The sequence below is a fragment of the Homo sapiens genome, chromosome 12 (assembly GCF_000001405.40).
Source record: "Homo sapiens chromosome 12, GRCh38.p14 Primary Assembly".
In the NCBI taxonomy this organism is placed as follows: Eukaryota; Metazoa; Chordata; class Mammalia; order Primates; family Hominidae; genus Homo; species Homo sapiens.
In genome coordinates this window covers 11538187-11565867 of record NC_000012.12, presented here as the reverse complement: position 1 = coordinate 11565867, position 27681 = coordinate 11538187, and the positions used below count along the sequence as shown (strand labels likewise).

The following is a 27681-nucleotide window of genomic DNA, read 5'->3' as shown; positions in this document are numbered from 1 at the left end:
AAACAAAATGTGGTATAAGCATACAGTGGATTTCCCCTTTCACTCAAAAGATATTTCAAGATATTATTAAACTTAAATTTTAAAATTAGTTTCCTTTGCTTTATGCTAAGAGAATAATAAGTCCTGTGGAATTTGTGATTTCTTAAACTTACTTTTAGACAAACCATTAAATTATAGTAAATATTTCAGGCACATTATAAAAGATGGCATGTGGTTTTGACGCATACATAATTTTATAAGTATTTATTAAATAAAATATGTTACTTACATCAACCATCCCCAACCTTTTCGGCACCAGGGACAGGTTTCGTAAAAGACAATTTTCCCACGGATGGGGGTTGGGTGGAGGGTTTCAGGATGAAACTGTTCCACCTCAGATCATCAGGCACTAGATTCTCATAAGGAGCTCACAGCCTAGATCCCTTGCATGCACAGTTCACATGGTTTGCTCCTATGAGAATCGAATGCTGCTGCTGATCTGACAGGAGGCAGAGATCAGGCGGTAATGCTCACTCACCACCCCCTGCCACCTTCTGCTGTGTGGCCCAGTTCCTAACAGGCCATCAACAGGTACTGGTCCATGGCCTGGGTACTGGGGACCCCGGAATTATATTACTCAGCTGTCTCTACATTTAGGTATTACTTATTTTGCCTGCCAAAGAGTAAAATGTGTTAAAACTTCCCAATACAATTAGTTTCTGTAATTTTCTTCTTGTCTTTCTGTTGTGTTTTGTTCTCTATATATTTATCTAGTGTTTATGAATAAAATTACACAACTCATACTACAGCACAGCTTTATCAATAAAGTGGAGATTTTTACCCTACTTTTCATTTTCTACCTTAAGTTATACTTTGTCAGATGTTAATTCCTGCTTTCTTTTTATTTTAATTTCTTGGTATATCTTTGCTTATCATTTTGCTTTCAATGTTTATGCTTATTTTGGTTTGAGTATGTTTTATAACCTACATAGACTGTGTGTGTATATGCTTGTAAGTGCAAGGGTGTGTATTTAACCAGCTTGAGAACCACTGTCTTTTAATAGCGAAGTTTAAGAAGTTCAACCCATTTTCATTATTATTATTGTTACATATTTTACTATAATACATTATATGTAATATATATTTTTATATTTCACTGTGTCTGGGTATGGTGGCTCATACCTGAAGCCCTAGCAGTTTGGGAGGCTGAGGCGGGAGGACTACTTGAGCCCAGGAATTTAAGATCAGCTTTGGCAACATGAGATCTCCATTTCTACAAAAAGTTTAAAAATTAGCCAGGTGTCATGGCTCACGCCTGTAGGCCTGGCTACACGGGAGGCCGAAGCGGGAGGATAGCTTGATCCCAGGAGGTCAAGGTTGCAGTGAGCTGTGTTCACGCCACTGATCTCCAGCCTGGGCAACAGAGCAAGACCCTGTCTCAAAAAACCAAACCAAACCAAACAAAACTTCATTGCTGTTTTTCTGTTTTGTAATTGCTAGACTATGTTTTGTTTTATTGATGTCTTCTTCGATAATGTTCAAAATTATCAATTACGTTTCTCAATTTTTCAATTGAATAAATCAGAAAAAATGGATATATATAACAGCATAAACATAAAAACCTTACAAGCATTGAATAATATCTTAAATTAAAGGACAAAAAGACTGAGAAAATATTTGCAACAAATAAGATACATATTCACAATACAATCCACAATATAAAAGAAGTCATGAACATCCATAAGAAAAAAATGGGTATAGCAGTCAAAACTGTATTTGGCTACGAGAACCAGCAAAACATACCATAGTGGCTTAACAGATGAAAGGAAGGACTGTTTCACTTGGGTAATAAGAAGTCCCATGGGAATCAGTCCAAGGCTGATACATTGACTCCAAGTATCCCCAGTGTCCCAGGCTCTGTAAATCTTTAGGTTCATGCATTCTTAGTATGCAGTTTTTATCTTTTTGGTTTCAAAACGACTGTTGCATCTCCTGGCAGCTCAAGTGGAAAGAAGACAGAAATTGGAGAGGAATGCACCAGAAGACTTATTTCTCATATCAATAAGGGGGTGGGGGTGGAACATCAAAATTTAGCTTTTACTCTCTCTATAGTGGAGTCAAGTAAGGGAGAAACATGTTGCAAATGGAGATTGGCTTGGCCAAAGTACAGCGCCTGCTACATAGAGAACTGAAATAGAAAATTCACAAAATAAGAAATTAAAAAATAAAAAATCATACCAAAATAACAATCCACTAAATAGTAATCAAAGCAATTTATGAAAAACTCTTTGGCAGGATTAGAAAAGTTCTTATCTCTTTGGTCTGTCCATTTTAAGTCCAGTACCCAATCCTTAGAAAATAATTTAAAACACAGACAAAATGTACCTTCTAGACTATTTATCAGTGTTTTGTTGTTGTTAGTTTTGATTTTATTATATAACCTATACATTTGTTTATGCCAGGCAGCTTCTTTTAGGTTGCAAGGAACAGATACATCTTGAAGTTGCCTCAGTTTATGGTTAATGTTGTAAGAACATATGAAAGCAGGAACAGAATAAAATAATGTCATCAGCCACAAGCTGAGGAACGGGACACACAGGTCTCCCTGAGCCCAGCTATTCTGATAAGAAGCAGCTCTATCAGTCCATTATCTTGCTCTTTAAGAGTGGACATTTGTGGCTCTCGACACAGTGCTCTGCCATTATGACTCAGCTTCTCTCTTTTTTTTTTTTTCTTTTTGACAGGGTCTCATTTTGTCACCCAGGCAAGAGTTCAGTGGCATGATCATAGCTCACTGCAGCCTCAAACTCCTGGGCTCCAACTGCACTGGAGGATACTCTCACCTCAGTCTCCCAAGTAGTTGGGAGTACAAGTGTACAACACTATGCCTGGCTAATTTTGTACAATTTTGTAGAGATGGGGTTTTGCTATGTTGCCCAGGCTGGTCTCAAGCTCCTGGCCTCAAGCAATCCTCCCACCTCATCCTCCCAAAGTGCTGGCTGGGATTACAGGCATGAGCCACCATGCCCTCGCTACTCCTTAAGTACTATGCTCTTAAAATTAACATTTTAGGCTAAATCTACTAGAATGATGCATTCAAGTATTTTATAATTTTATTTCAAGTTTTCTTAAAGAAGCAAGGTGTGCTAACTATAGAGCACTTGGGAAATACAAAAATTATACAAAACAGTAAAATCGCCCATAGTCTCACAGTTCGAGGTAACCATTATTAATATTTTGGTGTTTTTCCTGGGGCCCTTTTATCTTTGATAATTTTTTCCTTTTTCTCTCTAATTTGAAGAAGAAAAAGCTTTGTTATTTGTATCATCAAAAGTTAGAGTGAGTATATATGACCAGAAATAAAAATGAACAAATTACACAACACATTTTGGTTGATGTACAGCATGCGAGACCGAATATGAACAAAGATGGGATACCAAATGCTATTAATATCTTTCTATTTAAAATAAAATTTCAGGCCAGGTGCAGTGGGTCATGCCTGTAACTATGTAATCCCATAACTTTGAGAGGCCGAGGCAGGCGGATCACTTGAGGTCAGGAGTTTGAGACCAGCCTGGCCAACGTGGTGAAACTCCGTCTCTACTAAAAGCACAAAAATTAGCCGGGTGTGGTGGCACGCACCTGTAATCCCAGCTACTCGGGAGGTTGAGGCAGGAGAATCGCTTGAACCCAGGAGGCAGAGCTTGCAGTAAGCCGAGCCTGGGCAACAGAGCGAGAGTCTGTCTCAAAAAGTAAAACAAAATAAAACCTCAGAAATTCAGTTCCATTCATTTGCAATTGTTTCTACATAAGCTGATCTGAAACTTACCTCTGAATTACGTATGAAACAATTTGCCAGGTGAATTCATAGCATAAACAAAATGACTAGGGGCATGTTTGACTTATGTGAGGGCTTTTAAGGATTTTTAAACACCTTAACAGCACCCCTGTTTCTCTACTCATTAATTATTAGTTTTCAGACAAGATCCAGCACATTCAGAGTGGTATGGCCATAGACAATAACTAGTTTCCAATGAGTCTCATCTGTTCATTAAAGTTTGTCATCCCACAGAGCAATGAAAAGTGAAGAAAATAGGTTTACATTCTGAGACATGCTTCACCATCCAAAACCAAAACATGCAATCTAGTGTTTACTTTTTTTAATGGCCCAAATAGTGTCTATAGTTACTAAGTAACTATTTTCTTAGTGAAAACAAACCAATGAATCTTGGAAGTCACATTGAAGATGAAGAATATAACTCAAAATTGAAGGCTTTTTCCCTTTATTTTAAGAAGCATTCCTTGACTCCCAACCATGTTTTACATTCCTTGACCATATTTCTTATATTAGACATCAGTCTCTTATTTTGTTTTCTTGGTAAGCCTTTCTTAGTAGACTTTTAAGGTCTATTATTAGGATATTTTCAATTTCTAGCATAACAGTTAGTCCCTAATATTTTCTCAATAAATATGTCTGGCTGAGGGAATGCACCAACACATATTTTAATGAATACATTAAATGTGTTAGGTTTTTAAATGTTGAGACCATGTTCTTTCATTTTCCACTTCTTCAGGGCTTGCTGGTCACCTTAGATGAGATGATGATTAACCTAATGATTACATAAAGTCACTAAATTAGGTGAAGCAAGACATGAGAAAGATTTCAATGGGAAGATAAAATCATCCTCAAGAAAACCACAGAGGTAGGCTGGGCACTGTGACTCACACAGTGCTGTAATCCCAGCACTTTGGGAGGCCAAGGCGAGAGGATTGCTTGAGGCCAGCAGTTTGAGACCAGGCTGGGCAACATAGCTGGACTCTGTCTCTACGAAACATTTAAAAACCTAGCTGAGTGTATAGTGATGCACACCTGTAGTCACAGCTACTCAGGAGGCTGAGGTGGGAGGATCACTTGAGCCCAGGAGTTTGAGGTTACAGTGGGTAATGATTGAGCCACTGCATTCCAGCTTGGGTGACAAAGGAGGATACTCTCCCCCCACCAAAAAAAGAAAGAAAACCATAGAGGTAGATCTATAGGATATAAATAGACTATACAACGTAAAAGCTGTGTACAGACATTAAACAAAAACCACAGTATCAATATTAAAGGGTAGAAATAAATACATTTGGCCATAATTAAGCTAATCTATTTTAAAATCTTCTGTAAGACAGACGTATCTTTAATTAGAATCCTTTTCAATGATTTTCATCATTTCCAACTAGTAAAGTCCTTTTAAAGTCAAGAATATAGATTTTTAACAAGGATCTAATGCCTGCAAAATATTCTTAAATTCTCTTTTCCTTAAATTCTCAATCCCTTTTATACTTCTTATTTAGCACTTTTCATGATTATCAGTCAGTAGGAACCGGGTGTTTGTGTCTTCCCACAAAAGAATGAACAGATGGAGGAAAAGCACCAATTTTTTTTTTACTCATGTGGTACCAATTTATCTCCTTTCTTAATATATTTCTCATAAAAGGAGCATAGTAATTTTAATTGAACCAAAATAATCCCAACTCTTTGCAAGGAATCATTGTCAGAGAGGAAATTGATCTTCTATCTGCTTTATGTTCTAAAACCTTCTGGGCTTCTACAGATGCTCACTTCATCTCTTTTTAAATAAAGGGCAGACTATTTGAGATGTTTTTACAGTGAGAAATGAGAAAAGTTAAGCGCTACGAGTGAGAAACCAGGAGTCTAAGTTCTCTCTCTGACATTGACTATCTGTGTGACCCTGGATAAGGCATGTAACCTCTCTGGTCTTGTTTCTTCATCTGTTAAAACTATTTGAATTGGTTGACATTTACCATTCTTTCCAGGACTCTCTATGATATTCAATCAATTATCCATCTTCTCCAACTAGTCTTTGCTCTTCTTGCTTATCTCATGGAAACACGTTATTTCCACCTTCTCCCACACTCAACTACTATTTTCCTTAGGAGAGACCTTGAGTACTGTTAAATTTCCTCAGAGAAATGTTAAGCAAGTCACTCAAACTCTCTAGGCTGCAGTTTCCTCATCTGTAAAAGAACAGATCACAAGCTCACCAGCCACAGATCTCAGCATCAGATCCTTACAGAGGACTGGTGACCAAGTGAGCAAGGCTCATCACTCTAGAGAGAAGCTGATGCCAACCAGCATAGGTCAAGGACCATCATAAGACTAGAGGCTTCTCACCCCTTTGCCCAAGGCTACATTATGACTGGGAAATTTCTAAAATATTATTTAAATTATTAGAGCAAACTAAACTCTGAATCAGATTCCTGCTCTGCCACCTCCACTAATCAGGTGCCTAGAAAGGGAAGCAGAATAGGCAATGTTGGCAATGTTATGTTAAATTGCTATGTTTCCTCCAGAGTGGTAACTGTGATTCAAGACATGTGACTTTGTTTATGTATTATCTTTAGCAAGGTGACCCTCACCTGGAAGATTAACTTTGTGACTCTTAAACCAGAAGGTTGCTTATTGCCCCTTCCTGTTTAATGGGGTTCATGGAGGTCCATACCTGCCAGCCATGCCAGTCCTGCTCTCTCCTGTGCCTGAGTAGTGATTTAGGTATCATTCTTGCCCGTGCAGACTGTCCTGACACTTCTGCCACTGTAGGAAAGACAAAAACACAAAACTTCCCAACAATCATATTCCTAGATCTTTACCTAAGTAAACTGAAAGCTCACGTTCACACAAAAACCTGTATGCAAATGTTTATAGCAACTTTATTCATAATCTCCAAAATCTAGAAGCAACCAAAATGTCTTTCCACAGGTGAGTGGATAAAAAAATTGTGGTAATTTTTGTTTTGCTTTGTTTTGAGATAGGGTCTCACTTTCTTGCCCAGGCTGGAGGGTAGTGGCATGTTCATAGCTCACTGCAGCTTCAAACTCCTGGGCTCAAGCGATCCTTCCATCTCAGCCTTCAGAGTAGCTGGGACTACAGGTATGCACCACCATGCTTGGCTAATGTTTTTTTTAATTTTTTTTTTTTTTTTCATGGAGACGGGGTCTCCTATGTTGCCCAGGCTGGTCTCAAGCTCCTGGGCTCAAGCGATCCTCCCACCTTGGCCTCCCAAACAGTTGGAATTACAGGCATGAGCCACAATTCCTGGCCATGGTACATTCATATAATGGAGTACTATTCTGCTGTGAAAAAAAGAATAAACTCTTGATTCACACAATGATGTGGGTCAGTCTTACGTGAATTTTGCTAATTGAAGGAAGCCAGACTCCAAAGGGTGCACACATTGTATAAATCCATTCATATGACATTTTAGAAGCAGCTACACTATGGGGATGGAAAACAGATGCCAGGGGTTGGTGGCAGTAGGAAGAGGGTAGATTAACTGTACATTAACTGCAGAGATAATTCATGGGGGGAATTTTTAGGGTGACAGAACTGTTCTGGGCTGGGTGTGGTGGCACACACCTATAATCCCAGCACTTTGGGAGGCCGAGGTGGGAGGATCGCTTGAGCCAGGAGTTCAAGACCAGCCTGGGAAAAATAGCAAGATCCCATGTTTACAAAAAGTAAAAAAATTAGCTGGGCATGTGTGCACATACCTGTAGTCCCAGTTACTCAGGAGGTTGAGGTAAAAGTATTGCTTGAGCCCAGGAGTTTGAGACTGCAGTGAGCTATGATCGCACCACTGCATTCCGACCTGGGTGGCAGAGAAAGATTCTGTCTCCAAAAGGCAGAGGTGGGGAGGGGGTGGGGGGTAGGAACAATTCTGTATGATACTGAGTTGTGGATAAATGGCTCTGCATTTGTCAAAATCCATAGAACTGTACATCACAAAGAGGGAACGCTAATGTATACAATCAAAAAAATATCAACCAGGATGGTGGGGACTGCAGACTTTCATGAATGAATGTAACTGTACACATAACATCCCTGAAGGGGTTGGGAAAAGGTGCAAACCAAAATAATCTTGCAGGTGCTGCTTTGACTTATAATTGTAAGGCTAAAGGCCAAAGGAACTGGACATAAGCACTGTGTTCCAACTGGCAAGTCTCTTTCTCATCGGGTTGGGGTGGGGCGGTATTACCTATGCTGAAACAGCTTTACATGCACCGTTAAGTAATAATGGGCAAATAAGGAAATAAAAGTGGATAGTGGGGGTCAGGTTTTTCACTGTTGGAGAGAGAAGTTATAGATAAGCAAAGGCAGAAGGCTAGAAGGAACCCTGTGATACTGGATTAGAGTCAGAAATATGAGTATGAACTCATATTTAACCATATATATAAATCATAATAGATATGTGTATATATATGGGTTAATATATGTAGCTCCTATCTGTGCCCTCTGAGAGGGCTTAGTACAGGGTTACAGCTAGTATAGGGTTGCCAGATCAAACATAGGATACATAAGTAAATTTGAATTTCAGATAATAAATACACACACACACACACACACACACACACCACACAGAGAGACACACACACACAGACACTTAAGCCTATAAAGGAGTAAAATATATTTGCAAGGGTATACAAGAAAATTGTAACTGGGTGGCCAGGGCAATGAGATGGAAGGAAGACTGACTTTTCACTATATACCCTTGGACCATAAGTTTCTTATTCACAAAATAAACAACTTTACAAAAATTAAGCAAGTAAAACCTTGTAGCTAACTCAACAAATAAAAGTATTTTCTATGAATTAGAATAAAAAAGGGCTACCTGGTTAACTTTTAAAAATTTCACTGCTTTGTAGTGAAATCACTTATTCGTTATGTAATTCATAGAAGCTCCAGACAGAGGCCGTCTTTTTCCTCCATAAGCAGGTCTTCTCTGCCTTTCTGCAGACCAGGTGGGGGTCACAGGCAAGTGTGACATTTTCTTCCTGGACCCCTTCTTCCATGGTGTTGGGGGAAGGACACCCGCACATCTTGGGGAGGAGACAGGAGAAAGACGCGCTTCCCGGAATCTTGGCTGCTTCTCACTTTAATCAAAGTCTCCTGCTGCTGACACACGGAAATTCTTTAATTAAACTCAGCCTGGCTCCTGTGCTAACCCTCTCCAGGCCGGTGCCAAGGCAACATACTCTAAATGATGAAGAGGAACCTTTTAAAAACTTTTTAATAGAGGGGATAATTAGCCTGTGCAATTCATTGTTACAGAATCTCCCAGAGACAAGGTAACTTATTACAGTCTTTCTTTCTTTCCTTTCTTTCTTTTTCTCTTTCTTTCTTTCTTTCTTTTCTTCTTCTTCTTTTTTTTTTTTTTTTGAAAGCTTTCAGTTTTATTCTGGATAGGAATTGTCTCCCTGTGCCAGACAGGGCGAAGCTTCCCAGGTCTCTTGAGGCATATGGTAATTGTCAGAAAGGATTGCTGAGGTCAAGAAGAAATTTCTTCCCACTATTGAATAAGGGCAAAAGGTAGACGAGAAACACTGTGGGAAGAGAGAGGGAACAGTCTGTCTTCTGCAGCATCGGACTGCACTGATTGTGCTGAGCCAGAGAGAGTATAACAAAAAGAAAGTAAATAGTGCAATGAGACTGCTCTTTGGTTCAGCCTTTGCCAGAATACAAGGACCTGCCCAGGCTCTGTCACAGGCTGTGCTAACAAACCCAGCCTTGGTTTTGCTCACAGAACTGAAAGAGGCTGGGACATCATTAGGGAAACGGAGTCGAACAGCCCTGCTCTCTCTGCTTCCTGCAGATCAGCAGACATGGAGCAGGGACAAAGCTTTCTTCCCACCTGGAAGGAATCTGCGCTTTCCTCATGAGTCTTCTGTTCAAAGGACAGTACCCCCAGTTTGATGTGAAAGTGATAGGGCGAGTGAGTAGAGTTCATAATTGTTTACTGCTACCTGGTTTCCTGAACTGTAGAAGTCATGACGAAAGATGTCAACTTTATGAAGCCTTAGGGGACATTTTAGATATCCTTTTCCAATTCACGTGTCTTCTCTTTGCTCCCTTAAGTAAACGAAGAGCTTCTTAACCAAGCCCTCAGAACTAGCTGCCTTGATAAGGATCAGCTGGAGCCAGTCACAGCCTACGCTAGTTTGTGGGCAAGAAGAAAAGCACTTAAAGCAAACTCCCACCCTATGTGGCTCAGTGGATTCACTATCTGCACTACCTCTTTTCAAGAAAACAGGTTTTTGGCACTGTGGTGAGTTTCAGCCTAAGTTCCTAGGCAAGCTTACTTTCCCTGGTTTGAGTTGGGGAGGATGGCGTTACTCTTTAGTAATTTTGTTGCCCTTTCTTGTGTTGCTATTTGTCAGTGCCTGTATATGATTTTTCCTTCATTTGCTAGGGATTAGGGAAGTTAGGTAGGGTTACACTGTTGATAGCAAGTGATCATGCTTCTGTGCAGTCTCCTACCAGATTTTTTGCTGAATGAAAAAGCAATAATAATCGTGATGAGGAGGAAGACAAGGAAAACAACTCTAAAAAAGATGGAGAAAATTGTCGCATAGTTTCATGATAGCTCACCAGTAAGGGGTGCTACCTTCTGTGCTAAGGCTTAGGTAATCATACCCTTTACCACTGTGTGTTGGCAAGAACTGTACTTGAAATCAGGAGACCTGGGAAGGCTGAGGAGGGAGGGTTGCTTGAGCTCAGGAGTTCGAGGCTGCAGTAAGCTATGATCACGCTACTGCACTCTAGCCGTTGACAGGCGACAAAGCGAGATCTGTCTCTAAAAAATAAAATAAAGTAAAATAAATCAAGAGCTCCAGATTTTGAATTCTGTCTTTGCCATCTGTATTATTAGTACCAGTTACTTAACATCTCTAAGATTGTTCCATCATCTATAACATAACATTAAAAATGACTATTGACAAAGATGTTTGAGAAATAAAGGAATTAAAATTGCTGCAAAACACCATTTTCTCAGTGTTTGTTGGATCTGGATAATGTTGTGATATATGAATTGCATCAGAGTGTTGTCATCATTCATCATCATCATCATCATCCATCATTTCTAAAGTATCTAGATTTGTTCTAGAAAATGTAGCATGCTTCCCAAAGACAGAGTTTCTGACAACTAAGGGTTGGCAGTGGAAGGGAATATCCCACAGAGGTGCTGAAGTCAGTTTGCAAAGAGTTTCGAAATATTCAGCAGGAAACTTAACTGGTAAAAGAAAAGGATTATTCAGGGAGCACCCAGCATGCCACTCATTCTATGTGTGACTTGTATACACTTATTGAAGAATCAGTTATACTGCAGGGTTTGATGTGTTCAATAAATGTTAACATAATTTGTTAACATATAAAAATGGCACAAAGCGATCGTTTTTCTACCTACTTACCGCTTGAGAGGTTTTTTCCTTCTCATCCATTTTGACCAATTTCATAGAAATTTTATTTTCAAATTCTAAAAAGCTATTTCTCTCCATATCCTTGAATGCCTCTGACAGAAGCGACTGGAATCCCCTTTCTCTCAGAACAACGTTCATTAAACATATTTGGTTAAAAATACGTGGAACTCTAATAAGTTTTACTTTAGATAACACAGAAAATCACACAGGGTCTGCATACTTCATGCTAAAGAGCCTTGGGGTTTAGTGAAGAGGAGAACAGAAAATGTCTCTGACTTTGGCTTTGGTCTGATTTCCTCTGATCACTAATTTCCTAGCCCACATGTCTAGGCTAGGACACCATTGTCTGAGAGAGACAACTTCTCTTGTTGTTGTTCCTACAGACTATCCTTGTTGCACGAAGCACAGGATAATCTGTCACCCTGGCTTTTTGGCTTCCTGCTTCAGCACCACCTCTCCTTGAAATGCTCATGTATGGATATGGGTTCACGGGTTCCATCTAGCGGCCACTACTCAAATAATTTGAAAGTCAAGAACATTTCATAGATGACATTGACCTCACCTTTGCTTTGACGTACGGGGAAATTTAGATCTCAAGAGGTGAAATGAAGCATCGTAGGCACATGGCTAGTTAGTGGTAGAACTGGGGCCATCACCAGCCTCCTGACTCCAGCCCAGTTTCTCAGCCACAACAAGGTTTTTTTTTTTTTTTTTCCACAACCTTGATATTCTTCCTCCTACAAAATACTTAACTCTCCAGAGACTTAAACATCTTGATTCAACTCTGATACAAAAATAAGCAGAAAACATAACAACTGAAATGATAACTATAGCAATAAAAATATTATAGATTTCCATCGTATGTACTGTAACAATAAGATTCAAATGAATGAAAGATATAGCAGATTTCAGTATGGGGGAGTTAATGGAGGAAGATGGAACTCCATTACCTTCTTGAATGTGAAAGAGTAGATAAATTGGAGGAAGCTCCTAGGGGAGGGCATTTCAGGAACATGGAAAAGCATGAAAAAAATGTCTTCATGTGATGAAGAGGTTGGTTGTATTCCCTAGGCAAATATTAGGAATTAAAAAACAATTATTTCATGTTATTTAACCTATTAATAGATTTTTAAAGTGTACAACATAGTAAATTTCGACCTATTTTACACCAAAGAGGCAACTGACACAATCAAGATAATGAACATGGCTGGGCAAGGTGGCTCACGCCTGTAATCCCAGTGCTTTGGGAGTCATAAGTGGGAGGATTTCCTTGAGACCAGGAGTTCAAGACCAGCCCCAGGCAACATAGTGAGACCTCATCTCCACCAAAAGAAAAAAAACAGCCAGGCATGGTGGGCTGAGCCTGTAGTCCCAGTTGCTTGGCAGGAAGATCCCGTGGGCCCTGGAGTTTGAGGATGCAGTGAGCTATGAGCTGGGTGACAGAGCATGACCCTGTCTCTAAAAAAGCAAAAAAAAAAAAAGGATATTCATATCCTCCCCACCAAGTTTCCTTGTTGTGCCCCCTTCGTAATCCTGACTCCTCTCTCCTCTGGCCCATCCCACTCAGACAACCAGTGACCTGCTTTCCGTCACTTTGGATGAGTTTGCATTTTCTAGGATACTTGTACATTTTTTTCATTTTGAAACAATTTCAAACTTATGGAAAAGTTGCAGGTGTAGTAGCACAAGAGCTTCCGTACACCTTTCATCCGGATTCCCCAGTTGTTAACATTTTACCATGTTTGTCTTCTTATTCTATCTACACATTTATACGTATTATTGCTCTTAAATTTTTCTGAACCAGGTGAGAACAGTTGCAAATATGATGCCCCATGAGCCTTTACTACTTTGGCATGTATTTCCTTAAAATGAGGACATTTCTATAACCAGAGTGCATCCATCAAGATCGGGACATTACATGGGGTGCGGTGGCACATGCCTGTAATTCCAGGTACTTGAGAGGCTGAGACAGGAGAATCGCTTGAACCCAGGAGGTGGAGGTTGCAGTGAGCCGGGATTGTACCACTGCACTCCAGTCTGGATGACAGGGACTCTGTTTCAAAAAAAAAAAAAAAAAAAAAAAAAAAGAGAAAGGAAAAAGAAATGAAAAAGATCAGGAATTTAACATTGATGTAATAAAGCCACAATCCGTAGACTCCATTCAGATTTCACCAATTTTACAATAACGTTCTTTATAATTCCAGAATCCAACCCAGGATCATGTGTTGTGTTTAGTCATTATATCTCTGTTAGTCTCCCTTAATCAGGAACATTTTCTCATTCTTTCCTTGTTTTTCATAACCTGGGTGTTTTTAAAGAGAACAGGCTAATTACTTCGTAGAATGTCCCTCAGTTTGGGTTTGTCTGATGTTACCTTATTGTCAGATTTGGGTGGTGCGTTTTTGGCAGGACGTTCACAGAAATGATGCTGTGTTTTCTCAGTTTGTTAGAGTAACTTAATATAGATTTATCCTGTTTATAGACAACATTATATGTTAGCACTCGATTAAGATGATATTGGCTAGGTTTCTATGCTATAGAGCTAACTAGTAAGTAATTTGTATTTCTAAACTACTAATAAGCACTAAATATTTTGGGGGAGATACTTTGAGATTGTATCCATTTCCTCATCAAATTTTCACCTACTAGCTTTTCCATCCAATGATGATTCTATCTAAATTAGTTATAACTATAATGGTTGCAAAATAATAATTTTCTGGCTGGGTGTGGTGGCTCATGCCTATTATCCCAGCACTTTGGGAGGCTGAGGTGGATTGTTTGAGCCCAGGAGTTGAGACCAGCCTGGGCAACATGATGAAACCTCATTTCTACAAAAAATACAAAAATAGCCGTGTGGTGGCACACGCCTGAAGTCCCAGCTACTTGGGAGGCTGAGGTGGGAGAATTGCTTGAGCCCAGCAGGTTGAGGCTGCAGTGAACTGTGACTGCACCACTGCACTCCAACCTGGGTGACAGAGCAAGACCCTGTCTCAAAATAATAACAATTTTCTAATTCCATAATTATATTTACATTGATTAGTTGGCATTTACTATAAGTTAGAGCTCTCTCTTCTCTCTCATATTTATTCATTCATGTATTATATAAGTATGGATTCATGAGATTTGATTTTTCAATGAATTATAATCAGTTACTATCATTTTTTATTTTGATCCACAAAATGACCTAGATGTGGACAACTGGAGCCCCATGAAGTTGGCTCCTGTGTTTATTTATTTATTTATTTATTTTGAGAGGAAGTCTCACTCTATTGCCCAGGCTGGAGCACAATGGTGTGATCTCGGCTCACTGCAAGCTCCACCTCCTGGGTTCACGCTATTGTCCTGTCTCAGCCTCCCGAGTAGCTGGGACTACAGGCGCCCGCCACCACACCTGGCTAATTTTTTTGTATTGTCAGTAGAGATGGGACTTCACCGTGTTACCCAGGATGGTCTGGATCTCCTGACCTTGTGATCCACCCGCCTTGGCCTCCCAAAGTGCTGGGATTACAGGCGTGAGCCACTCCTGTGTCCTTTAGACATGTCCTCATAATTATCTGAGGGCTTCCTTACTTTCAGTACAATAGAGTTCCAGGGTCATCTTGTTCTTTCCCTGCCCCAGCCCTGGTTCCTTTTAGTGGAAAAAGGTATTTAGAAACTGAGATCTAAATGCTAGGATGCTCATTGCAACTGGGGTGTCATTGCTCCTGGACTAGGAAATATAACACATTCATACATTTCTACTTCTCAATTTACCTGTCTATCCCTACCTATCTATCATCTGTCACATTCCTATCTTTAAAATCCATAACTTCGGACTAATGCCTTCAATTCCAATCCAGTATCACATTTTCCCCTTTGCATATTTGTAACTCCTTTCTTCAACAGTGAGAAATTGCATTCCCAGTCTCCTTGATACGTTGACTCATTCACTTGATCCTCCTGCATGTAAGCAATCTCCCAGCTGGGCCAGCCTTGTCCCCTTAGCCCCAGTGCCACCCATCACACCATTTGAGTGTTCCAACTCCAAAAGAAGGGAAGGCGAAATAGGAAATTATTTTTGCTCTTCTCTTCCCTATTCCTTATGTGTATATTATTATTTTCCCTTTTGGATATTGCTCACATCCATTTTCTCCTCTTCAGCTTTACTTCTGTGACTAGAATTCAGGCTTGAACAGGTGCTTCTGGTTTTGTTCCTGGTAATCTGTCCTGCACATAGCAGCCCAGATGATCTTTCACAACAAGAATATGACTATGTTATTTCTCTTTAAAGTCTCCAATGGCTCGTCATTTTCTACAAGGTTAAGTAAGCTCTCTAACTTACCCTGACCTGGCCTCTGTCCATACCTCCATTCTCATATTCATGCCTTCCTCCCTTGGACTATCAGTAGAAGTGAATTTTTGTAGTTGTCTGCATATACCATGTTCCATCACTACCATTTCAGTATGATGCTCCCTTGATTTATGAACCTCTTTCCCCAGTGCACCCTTAGAAATCCTGCTCAGGTGTCACTGTATCTAAGAAGCTTTTTTTGACACTTCTTTCCAACCATTAGTTGTTAATTATCCATACTAATTGGATTTCTTATACATAGTTTTATTATTGCCTATGTCACTCTCCACTATATTTGTTTACATGTCTGTCTTCTCTACTAGGTAACCAATTCAGAGGACAGGAATTGATTTTTGCCATTATAGTTTCAGTATCTAGCACAGTTTCTGCCATGTGTTATACACTTAATAAATACTTATTGAGGCTGGGCGCGGTGGCTCACGCCTGTAATCCCAGCACTTTGGGAGGCCGAGGTGGGTGGATCATGAGGTCAGGAGTTCGAGACCAGCCTGACGAACAATGGTGAAACCCTGTCTCTACTAAGAAAAATACAAAAATTAGCTGGGCATGGTGGCACTCACCTGTAATCCCAGCTGCTCAGGAGGCTGAAGCAGGAGAATCGCTTGAACCCGGGAGGCGGAGGTGCAGTGAGCCCAGGTGGAGTGATGATCGCGCCTCATCACTCCAGCCTGGGCGACAGAGCAAGACTCTGTCTGAAACAAAACAAAACAAAACACAACAAAAACTTATTGAACTGAAACATATATGTATGTGTCTGTGTGTATTTCTTTTTCTTTTCTTTTTGCCTTGGAAGAATGTGGAGAAACATCTGAAAAAGGAGCTGTTTTAAGATACCCAGTTTGTGATCATTTATTATGGCAGCCAAAGCAAATAAATACAGCATCAAGCTTATCAGAATCCACTTGCATCATGCTTGCTAATATCCCCATTGTCAAAGCTAGTCACAAGGCTAAGCCTGCTGTCACCATGAGAGGGGACTATACAAGGGCGTGCATTCTGAGAGGTGTGGTTCATTGGAGAAATCAAAGTAACAGTGTGCAGTGAGATTTATTAGATCATTTCATGTATCATAATAAAAGACATTGAATTTCTGATGAAGGATTTCGAATGTGGTAAAATAATTCAGTGGGAACCCAACGCAGTACCTTGAAAGAGAGTTACCTTGGGTCAAGTACAATAATTGGCACTCAGACCTGACACTTCCTTTTCAATAGACTAAATTCACCATGCAGCAATTATTGGAGCTAACAAAGTGTAATCTGTATTGGAAGAGAGTTATTGAAACCAGTATTTAAAAACATTATAGCAGAACTCTTCAAATAAATTCTTATATTAACACAGAAACAAGTATGGCAGAATACTCACGGTTATTTTATTTAAAGTTGGGTTTTTCGAGTACCCTCTATTTTCATGTATTTTGGGAAATTTTAGTAATGAAAGCAAATAGTGAAACAGAATTAAATATCCATTTTATAAAATACGACAAACAAGAGGAGAGCGGCTCTGAATTCCACCCCTGTGGAATTCAGGACTGCCATAGAGCGTATTTTCAAAACTGTTGATTTTGACAAGGCTGACTAGGAGATGCCCTAGAAGCCCCAGGTATGTGTTTCAGTATGATTCTGGCAACGCTGACTTAAAGCACTAAGTAGAATCAGTAGCCTACAGTGGATACTGCCCCATAAGGAGTGACGGGGGAAACGTTGCTGATTAAATAAATGGTCTTTTGAATTGGGCTGATGGTAGATGCTATAACTGAAGTTGCAAACCACACTGGGTTCGTTTGCTAGGGCTGCTGTAATAAATGACCACAAGCTGGGTATCTTAAAACAGCAGAAAGTTACTCTCTCACAGTTCCGGAGGCCAGAGGTCTGAGATCCGGGTGCTGGTGTGTCCGGAATCGGTGGGTTCTTGGTCTCACCGACTTCAAGAATGAAGCCGCGGACCCTCGCGTGAGTGTTACAGTTCTTAAAGGCGGCGTGTCCGGAGTTTGTTCCTTCTGATGTTCAGATGTGTTTGGAGTTTCTTCCTTCTGGTGGGTTCGTGGTCTCGCTGGCTTCAGGAGTGAAGCTGCAGACCTTCGCGGTGAGTGTTACAGCTCATAAAGGCAGTGTGAACCCAAAGAGTGAGCAGTAGCAAGAGTTATTGCAAAGAGCGAAAGGACAAAGCCTCCACAGTGTGGAAGGGGACCCGAGCGCGTTGCCACTGCTGGCTCGGGCAGCCTGCTTATATTCTCTTATCTGGCCCAACCCACATCCTGCTGATTGGTAGAGCCAATGGTCTGTTTTGACAGGGCGCTGATTGGTGCGTTTACAATCCCTGAGCTAGACACAAAGGTTCTCCACGTCCCCACCAAACTAGCTAGATACCGAGTGTCCACACAAAGGTTCTCCAAGTCCCCACCAGAGTAGCAAGATACAGAGTGTCCATTGGTGCATTCACAAACCCTGAGCTAGACACAGGGTGCTGATTGGTGTGTTTACAAACCTTGAGCTAGATACAGAGTGCCCATTGGTGTATTTACAATCCCTGAGCTACACATAAAGGTTCTCCACGTCCCCACCAGACTCAGGAGCCCAGCTGGCTTCACCCAGTGGATCCCCCACCGGGGCTGCAGGTGGAGCTGCCTGCCAGTGCGGTGCCGTGTGCCTGCACTCCTCAGCCCTTGGGTGGTCGATGGGACTGGGCTCCGCGGAGCAGGGGGTGGCGCTTGTCGGGGAGACTCCGGCTGCACAGGAGCCCACGGAGGTGGGGGAGGCTCAGGCATGGCGGGCTGCAGGTCCCGAGCCCTGCCCCGCGGGAAGGCAGCTAAAGCCTGGCGAGAAATTGAGCACAGCAGCTGCTGGCCCAGGTGATAAGCCCTTCACTGCTCGGGCTGGTGGGGCCGGCCTGCCGCTCCGAGTGCTGGGTCCGCCGAGCCCACGCCCACCCGGAACTCGCGCTGGCCCGGAAGCACCGCGCGCAGCCCCTGTTCCCGCCCGCGCCTCTCCCTCCACACCTCCCTGCAAGCTGAGGGAGCCGGCTCCGGCCTTGGCCAGCCCAGCAAGGGGCTCCCACAGTGCAGCGGTGGGCTAAAGGGCTCCTCAAGTGCCGCCAAAGTGGGAGCCCAGGCAGAGGAGGCGCCGAGAGCGAGCAGGGCTGTGAGGACTGCCAGCACGCTGTCACCTCTCACTGGCAGGGTTAGGTTTTTCTGGGGGCTGTGAGAGAGAAACCAGTCTGTGCGTCTCTTTGGCATTCCTGGGCATCCCTCCAGGCTCCGCCTGTGCTGTCACACTGAGTTCCCCCTGTGTGTCTGCTTTCTCCTCTTATAAGTGATATAGGAGTTAAGAAGAAATTATTTAGGCAGATAGTGAGGGTAAGGAAGTCCTCAGTAAGGTTTTCCTTTTAATGAAAAGCAGCCCTCAAATCGTTTTCTTTTCTTACAATGAGCAGCCTGTAAAATCAAGCTGCAGACATAGACAAGCAAGCTAGAAGCTTGCACGGGTGAATGCCAGCAGCTGTGCCAATAGGAAAAGGCCACCTGGGACTAGGCATGTCCAACTTCGTATACTTGGTCATCATTTCCTACATTCTCACACAGAAGAGAGCACTCAAAAAATAGTTTTGAGAATCATTTGCTAATGATTTAATACTATTATAAGGGAATAAAAGACTTTTCTTTTAAATGAGTGCTTAAAGGCGATTGGAAGCCCTGCTAAAGTTCAGGGGTGAATGCCTTATTATTTTTTTATATTTGGGGGCAAGGGCTTTCCAGTGAAGACTGGAAAACCTGCTAGACAGATTCTAAAAGAGCTGTAACACTGGGTGAATGCTGTAGAAGCACATAGTGTTAGTAAGGTGTGGGTCAGATACGGCTTTAGAGAATGTAGCAACTGAAAGCCCAGATGGGAAGCTCCGTAGGCAGCTGGATAAGCTAATATTTCTAAATAATATGTTCAGAGATTCGGACTGAATGCAATTGCAACCTTCTCCACCAGTCAGCAGTGAGTTCTGAAGTTACAGAAGTGTGATGAATTGCGGTCAATATGGGTTCTACCTTCACTTTGGAGTCAGTCAGTGACCTTAAAATACCTGCCCAGCTGAATTTTCTTAGAGTGCTTCATTTCCTGTGGGCCCTTTTACTCCAAATTCCAGATGATGGCTTTTAGTCTGTGGGGCCGCTTTAAGAGGCAGAAATCTGATCAGAACTACTAGAAGGCTGTGAAGGTGCTGCTGTGTGGACAGGCAGGGCAGAGTGCTCAAGGCTTTCCAATGCTCCTGCAATGGATCCTCCCTACCCAGCCCACAACCTGGCAGCTCAGGGGCCAACTGTTCTCTGTTGCTTTCTACTATCATGAACACAGGAAATGGGGGTGGGTAGCTTCTGGTTTCTGATTGAGGGAGTAGAAAGTGATGCTGCAGGGATCAAAAGCAGAGAAGCTTTTAAGCCATTTGAGAAACTGTGTCCGAAGGCAAGCGGATTTTAGCAGTAGCAGCAGCAGACCCCAGAAAAATTTGAAGAAGCATTAGTTTGTGCACTGTTAATGCCACTCTCTCATGAATGAAGAGAAGAAGGCAGGCCTAATGAAGGCTTTCCTAATGAAGGCTGAAGGCAGGCCGCTATTTGCCAAAGGTGCTGAGTGGCAGGGGGAGGAAGGGAAGGAAGCTGTGCAGTGTGTACTGCTTGCTTATCAGGAATCACGTCATTTCCTGTGTAAAGGGGCTGTGTGGTCTCCAGGGGCACTGGGAAGCCTTGGATGGCATGATTTCACCTTCTTCTTGCTCATCATTGAGGAGCTCTCATTAGTTAATGCTAGCCCTATTCATTTCATCATACATCTATTGTGTTCATACTGTGTTCTGAGCTCCGTGTTTAATCTTCGCAGGCTCATGAAGAGGAGTTAAGGATACTTTTGTCTTGAAAATGCTAACAGTCCCTCATGTGCTTGGGACCAGGGCTGCTGGAAAACCCACTAAGCAGCACACGGGAAACTAGAAAAGCAGAGGAACAAAGTTTTGGGGTTTTTGGGAGAGGGGGTGAAGAATGACATATTTTATTCCAAAAGCATAAAATATTTAATAGTGGAAACTATGAATGATACTGTTTAATTTTTAGGAGGCCAAAATATTTTAAGATTTATAAGTTTTAAGCTGGCCTTGGAGTGAGGGCAGAAAATATGTACACAAACAACTCTAATACAAGACTGAATGTGATGTATACCATAACAGAGCACCAAAGTAATAATGAATTGGGAGACAGAAGAACCACAATGTCTTTATAAAGTGGTATTTGAAGTGGACTTTGATGAACAGATAGGCAGGGTTGGAGTGCATGATCACTAAATCCATTCAAACCTTCTAACATTGACTTTTTATGGTGTGGGGGTGGGTGGGATGGGCACGGATTCTCCATGCAAAGGGACTATCTCGGGAACAGACAGTCACGGGGGCGGGGGGACTAAGCTTTCCAGTGTGCCTGGAGAAAAAGGCACATGTGAGGTCATGGATCTCAGGGCCCAGGCTAGTCTAGTTTGGCTGTAGCAGGAAGTGTTCCTCACTCTGCTCAGACCCAGGTACTGCTTCAAACCAGAAAGTCTGGAGAGTGGGCTCCTTCCTCCCCTAATGGGGCAATTTGCCCAAGGACAAAGTCCAGGCTTGCTCCTCCGTATCAGACCCTGCTCTGGGTAGAGGGAAACCACCACATGCTTTCTTGTTTGATGTGCTGAGTGCTCAACTGAGCTGTCTGTGCCCCTACACTGCTTCTGTATACTTAGAGTCAACCTTTAGAGGATGATATTTCAACATTCTGCATGGAGTTTTCTCTGTAAAGTACAATGAGTTTGTGACTGACCAGAACTACAGACATTCCCTTTTGTTTGTGAGCTGCATGACCAATGTGTTTGGCCTCATTAAAAATGAACTGGGCAAGCTGGGCATGGTAGCAACTCAGGAGGCTGAGGTGGGAGTCTCACTGAGCTCAGGAGTTCGAGTCCAGCCTGGGCAACATAGCGAGACCCTGTCTCTAAAAAATATAATAATATAAAATTTTGAAATAAGAATGAACTGGTCAAATAGGAAAGTTTTCAAGGACATCAACTGGTCTTTTCTTGCACAGAGGAGATTCGCAGGATGAAAATACTCTGAGGCTTCTTCCCACTGCAGGGCACAGACCCGAGTTAAGTGTGGCCTGGCCCTCAGCACTTCCCAGGTGCCCTTGGTGCATCCTGGTGCTGACCTGTGCCCCTCCACACTCCTGCTGTGCAGCTCCTGCTACCCTACAGGAACCTGCTCCTGAATAATCCCTGTGTCTCCTCTCTGTGCTCTTATGAGTCACCGAAACTCGCTTGTGAATTTTATTCACAGGGTTTTGACGGCTTCTTTCTATCCAAATTTATTTCCTCCTTGACCTCATTCCTTCTGTCTTGTTGCCATCACCAGTGAAAGCTAATATTATTTACATAGGGAAATGCATAGTGGATGGAAGGATACAGTTCTAGGAGTCACATGACCAGCCAAAAAAAGTTCTGCGTAGACACACACACACACACACACACACACACGTATAAACATATCATAACAAACTTAGCAGCTTGAAGATGAAGATTAATAGTGTTACTGTTTAAGGATCTCAAAGATAAAACATTTGCAAATTTAAAGCACACTTACACATGTATTCCTCTTGAGGACTTGGAAACACAGTTTTGCAGAATAACTCTGGCTGCCAGCTAGCACGGGAAGAGAAGTGTTAAGTGTTGAAAACTGTTAACTGTTCATGGACCAGTATAAATTGAGTCATAGGGGTGAGGTGTTTTTATGTTTGCTATATTTCCTATTTCCACTACTTTCCTGAATAAGTACATTTACTCTGGGTTAATTTTTGAAATAATTTTGAAATTATTCAAAACATTGTTGTGTGTATATGCAAAGACTAGGGAAAAGAAGCTTGGATTGGTAGCAAAAAGCCAACTGTGACTTTGAGCAAATTATTTGACCTCTCTCAATATATCTTTTCTTATTTTAAAATAAGGAGGTTGAACTATATCATTTCTATGCTTTCTTTCATTGTTAGCAATCCACGAATAATGGAACACTGCACAGAATAGTAAACACTGGGTTAAGATCCAGTATTGGCTCGAATCCTTATAACTGTGTGATCTGAATACAGTAATTTCTTCTCCCTGGGCCTTACTTTCTTCATCTGAAAAATTACAGGATTGGCCTCTATCTTCCTTATTGTCTCTTCAGACTCTCATGTTTTGTAGTTTTCCTCAGTTATGGTAGAAATCTCATCCTTCTCTTCTTAACATTTAGTCCTGTGCTCCAGGGAAAGAGGAGGGAGTTGGGAGAGGCCTGATATAATCATTAATTTTCTCCGTCTTTCTCTTTGTTTTGTTTTAACTCTCTTTCTCCTTCCCCCTCCCCACCTTCTCCTCCATTTTTTTTTTTCTAGAACACTGAGAAAGTTTCCTCATAGTCTACTTGGCAGTTGCAGCTGTCCCTAGAATGAGTCCTGAAACCTAGATCTGAGTTGCGGTAGAAAGCCTATTACTTCCTTGCTTGTTTGAAGACAGCCTACTGTAAGCCCTATGGCTTGGAGGTGACCAGGCTCTCCAGGAGATCAACACTTCGAGCCCTGTATGTTTAAGGAATAGTTTTGACTTAGAGTGATAGAGAACACCTAAAGAGACCATGGCTTTTAAAAATAGAAGTTTCTGAGTGTGGTGGTTAATGCCTGTAATCTGGGTACTTTAGGAAGCTGAGACAGGCAGATTGCTCGAGCCCAGGAGTTCAAGACCAGCCTCAACAACATAGTGAGACCCCATCTCTACAAAAAATACACAAATTAGCTGGGCATGGTAGTGCACACCTGCAATCCCAGCTACTCAGGAGGCTAAGGTGGGAGGATCACATGATCCTGGGAGGTTGAGGCCACAGTGAGCTGAGATTGTGCCACTACACTCCAACCTCAGTGAGAGAGTGAGAGCTTATCTGAAAGAAAGAAAGAAAGAAAGAAAGAAAGAAAGAAAGAAAGAAAGAAAGAAAGAAAGAAAGAAAAGAAGGAAGGGAGGGAGGGAGAGAGGGAGGGAAGGGGCTAAAAACAGTTAAGTATTATAAAGCGAGCATCAGTCCAGAAATCCAGCAATAGTCCCTCCTGGAATCCACTGACTTTTCTCAACAGTTTTTGGCCCTTCTCTTTTAGGGTTGCCAGATAAAAATACAGGATGCCCAGTTAATGTGACTTGCAGAAAATAATAATAATTTATTATTATATAATACATAATTTTTTAGCATAAACATGTCCTTTGCCATGCTTAGTTTGGGACATACTTACACTAAAAAATTATTTGTTCTTTATCTGAAATTCAGAATTAGGCATTTTATATTTTAAATTCAGAACTAGGCATTTTATATTTTTATTTGCTAAATCTGGCTACCCTATTCTCTTCTTAATATTCTTCATCTCTCCCAGCTTTGCCCTCCTTCCCTGCCCCCTCTTCTAGGGGAGTCAGATCGAGTTGTAAGGAGAACATGCCCACTGTCTCGATGGCTGCAGCGTGCAATCCATACAGACGGTGAGGAAGAAATGGGTTTCCACCCATGCTGTAGACGAATGTTTGTGTCCTCCCCAAATTCCTTTGTCGAAGCTTAACAACCAATGTGTTTGGTATTTGGAGATGGGCCTTTGGTAGGTAATTAGGGTTACATGAAGTCATGGGGTGGGGCCCTCATGATGGATCTGGTAAGAAAAGAGAACACTGTCTCTCTCTTCCACCAGGTGAGGATGCAAAGAGAAAGTGGCTGCCTGCAAACCAGGAGGAGAGCCCTCACCAGGAACCAATCTAGCTGACACTTTGAACTTGGACTTCAAACCTCCAGTATTGTAAGAAATAAATATGTTTTCAAAGTCATTTAGTCTATATTATTTTGTTTTGAATAATACAACCTGAAAATACATTTTCCCCTCACCCTACCTGAGCAATATCTAAGTTGCTTAAGGCACCCAGGGCACATCAAAGGAGAAATGTCCCATGCACAAGGCACAGCCATGCCCAGGAGAAGCAGCCCGGCACAGAAGGGAGCACACAGGCTCGGGGCTCTGCCACTCATTCTTCCTGTGACCCTGGGCAAGACACTGAGGGGGGCTTCAGCTGATTTGTTTGTAGTGGGCTTAATAGTGCTTGCCTTGCCTCCTCTGGAAGGCTGCAGAGACCGGATGTTAAAGCGCTTTGTTATCTGTAGGGTTTATTTGAACGAGAAAGGAAATGTGCATATGCTCCAGGATGTCTGTGTATCCAAAGACACACGCACACACTCTCTCTCTCACACACACTCTCACACTCACTCACTCACACACACTCACACACACATTCAACACATGCACACACTCACACACTCACACACACTCACACATGCTCACACGCTCACACTCACACTCACACTCACACACTCATTCAACACTCACACATGCACACACACTCCCACACACACTCATACACATCACACACTCACACATGACACATGCAATCTCTCACATACACTCTCTCTCACACACACACTCTCACACACACACACTCACACACTCACGTGCGTGCACACACACACACTCCATGACATACCAAACCTGGCTGCATGTTCTCAAAAATGTGCTGCTAGGCACCATTCCCAGTTCTAGACCCAGCCCAGCCAGTTTACCCTTAACTTCATAAAAGTTCTCTACCTAATGTACTACCGACAGGCTCATCCCAGACCTAAATTTTAAAGATTTCCTAGGAGCTGGATTGTAGACTTTTATCCTCACCCCTCAAGCTGCAGTGGGAATCCTTGACCCCAGCCTAGACAAAGAACAGCTGCAGGTCATTCTCATGTGTGGACATGGAGGCCATGACTGCCTTTGCTGGCCAGCTGGGCTGAGTGGGCCTGGGGAATGAAGGCTGCAGGGTTGGCCCCGGGCAGTCTTGCCTAGGCTTGCCAGCATCCCCTGGCCTTCTTGATTTCCCAGGATCCATGAGTATGGACTTTAGGAATTCTGGTGAAGGGATGAAGAGCATGCAGCAGGGTGTCCTCAGCCCTGATCTACAGGAAGAACACTGGAAACAAGGCCGAGAACTTAGTTTGAGAAGTTCCCTACCCCACCCAACCTCTAGCTCTTGTGTACCAGTTCCTGGAACAGACTCCCCTCTCCTGAACACCACTTTCCTCTCCAGCATTACATTTCTCCAAAGTGCATTGCTTTTTGGGAAGGCTTTCAAGGATGCTCGGAGAAAGGAGGATGGAAATGTCCCACTCTCTAAACCATTAGACAGATGCAGACAGACAGAAGGAACAGCCAGCTTCTTTTGCTGTTTGTAACGTATTTGAAAGAAGCTTGGGTCCAGAACTCTGCCGAAAGAGCTGTATGCTGTGCAGGGAAAGACAAGCACTTTCCCTTGTGGGATCCTTGAGCTGAAGTCATCGCTGGTTCTAGAGCCAGTTTTACTGAACACCCATGAATGGCTGTGTTCTGAGTGAGTTGGTCACTCACATCACCCTGACCTGCCCCAAGTTAGATTTTACATGATCCTGCTTCTCCAGGAAGCTTCCGTGACAGCCCAGGGACCTCCCCATTCTCTGAAACACACAGCATTTGAAGCTCCACTAGACAGCTTAGCCCCCATGTTGTGCTATTTGGGGTTGTTCTCTGTGAGATAGTAGAGAGTAGTGGTTACCAGGAAGACCTTTGGTACTGGGCTATCTGGGCTGGAGTCCTTATTCTGCTTAATAGCTATGTGATCTTAGGCATGTGACTTGTGCCTCAGTTTCTACTTTATAAATTTATGGAAAATACTGCATCTGTCTCTGTGGAGAGAATTCAATGAGTTAATATATTTCAAGTGTCCTTGAAATGTATTGTGTCCATAGATGGATAAATGGATAAACAAATTGTGGTATGTACAAACAATGGAGTATTACGCAGCCAGAAAAAGGAATGCAGAACTGATGCATGGCACCATGTGGTTAAACCGCAAAAGCATTATGTGAAGTGAAAGAAGCCAGACACAGGTCACATATTATGTAATTCAATTTATATGAAATATCCAGAATAGGTAAATCTATGGAAACAGAAAGCAGATTGGTGGTTTCCAGGGGCCGAGTGGAGGGGAGAATGGGAAGTGGCTGCTTCATGGGTGCAAGGTTTCATTTTGGGTTGATGAAAATGTTTGGGAACTATGTAAAGGGAGTGGTTGCACAACACTGTGAATGTACAAAATGCCACTGATTGTTCACTTTAAAATGGTCAATTGTATGTGCATTTCACCTGGCGCATAAGAAGTGCCTTGCAAGTACTAGTTGTCGTCCTGCATGCATTCCTTGACTTCCTCGATGGAAGGACCAGGGCTATGTCTTGTACTTTCATATCCTCCTTGGTGTGGACATTTACTGGCTGCGAGGTGGAATCAGAGGAAGCGAGAGCCTGAAAGACTTCAGTGATCGCAGAGCTGATGCTCCACCGATAGAGGAGATGGGAGGGGACATCACTGGGCTCTTCAGTGTGCTCCAGGGAAAGCTTTCCTGTCCTCAGGTCCAGGATGAGGAGACACAACAATGTCCCTGTCACCACAGTTATTGAGTGCTTGCCCCGTGCCCTCAACAAGCCAGGGAAACAGACACATAACCAGATGATATGAGTGCAATGGGTGTTTTGACAGGCACTGCAGAGGGGAGCCGGGTGCCTGGGAGCACTCACAGAGGAGCTCGTCTAGCTCCTGGCGACTCCTCCCTTCCCTCTTTAGCAGGGGAGCTCTTTTTGGCCTTCTGCTAAAGGGCCAAGCCTGACCATGGAGTGATGGAGCAGGTCCCCTCCCGTCCCTGCCTCACCCTGATGGGAGGGGCTGATCTGTGAACAGTCCTCAAGTGCTGCTTTAGTAAGGCTCAGGGGAGCGAGAGCAAGTGATTCTCCTTTACCCCAGCTCTGTGGGGTCTCCCCACACCGACCCACATGGGGGTCAGCTCTGTGGGGAGGAGAACAGTGTACATCTGAAATGGGAGAAACTATTGATCCACCGGGACCCCATACATTTTCCAAAAATTTTTGTTTTGAATTACAATAATACTACGTGTTAATGCTTAAAAAAAAA

At 42.5% G+C, this 27681-nt stretch overlaps 2 long non-coding RNA genes and 1 pseudogene across 2 annotated transcripts, besides 1 other annotated feature; 1 reads left to right on the top strand and 2 right to left on the bottom strand.

Moving 5' to 3' along the window:
* Positions 1–1464: 1464 nt before the first annotated feature.
* LINC01252 (long intergenic non-protein coding RNA 1252) lies at positions 1465–17838 on the bottom strand. The gene is made up of 8 exons (NR_033890.1): positions 17508–17838; positions 16147–16278; positions 13175–13288; positions 12186–12302; positions 11798–12019; positions 8652–10613; positions 6486–6577; positions 1465–2167 (listed from the first exon to the last, which is right to left on the bottom strand). It is a non-coding gene; the product is annotated as a long intergenic non-protein coding RNA 1252 (long non-coding RNA).
* On the top strand, positions 9665–24474 carry LOC124902877 (uncharacterized). Its single transcript, XR_007063210.1, has 3 exons — positions 9665–9752; positions 9896–10085; positions 24342–24474. It is a non-coding gene; the product is annotated as an uncharacterized LOC124902877 (long non-coding RNA).
* On the bottom strand, positions 19331–19390 carry RNU7-60P (RNA, U7 small nuclear 60 pseudogene; annotated as a pseudogene).
* Positions 21303–21362: an enhancer, noted in NCBI's record as "active region_5964". NCBI's record gives its function as "activates an Ori minimal core promoter by ATAC-STARR-seq in GM12878 lymphoblastoid cells {active_cell/tissue: GM12878}" and the evidence as "EXISTENCE:reporter gene assay evidence [ECO:0000049][PMID:35858748]".
* Positions 24475–27681: the final 3207 nt, after the last annotated feature.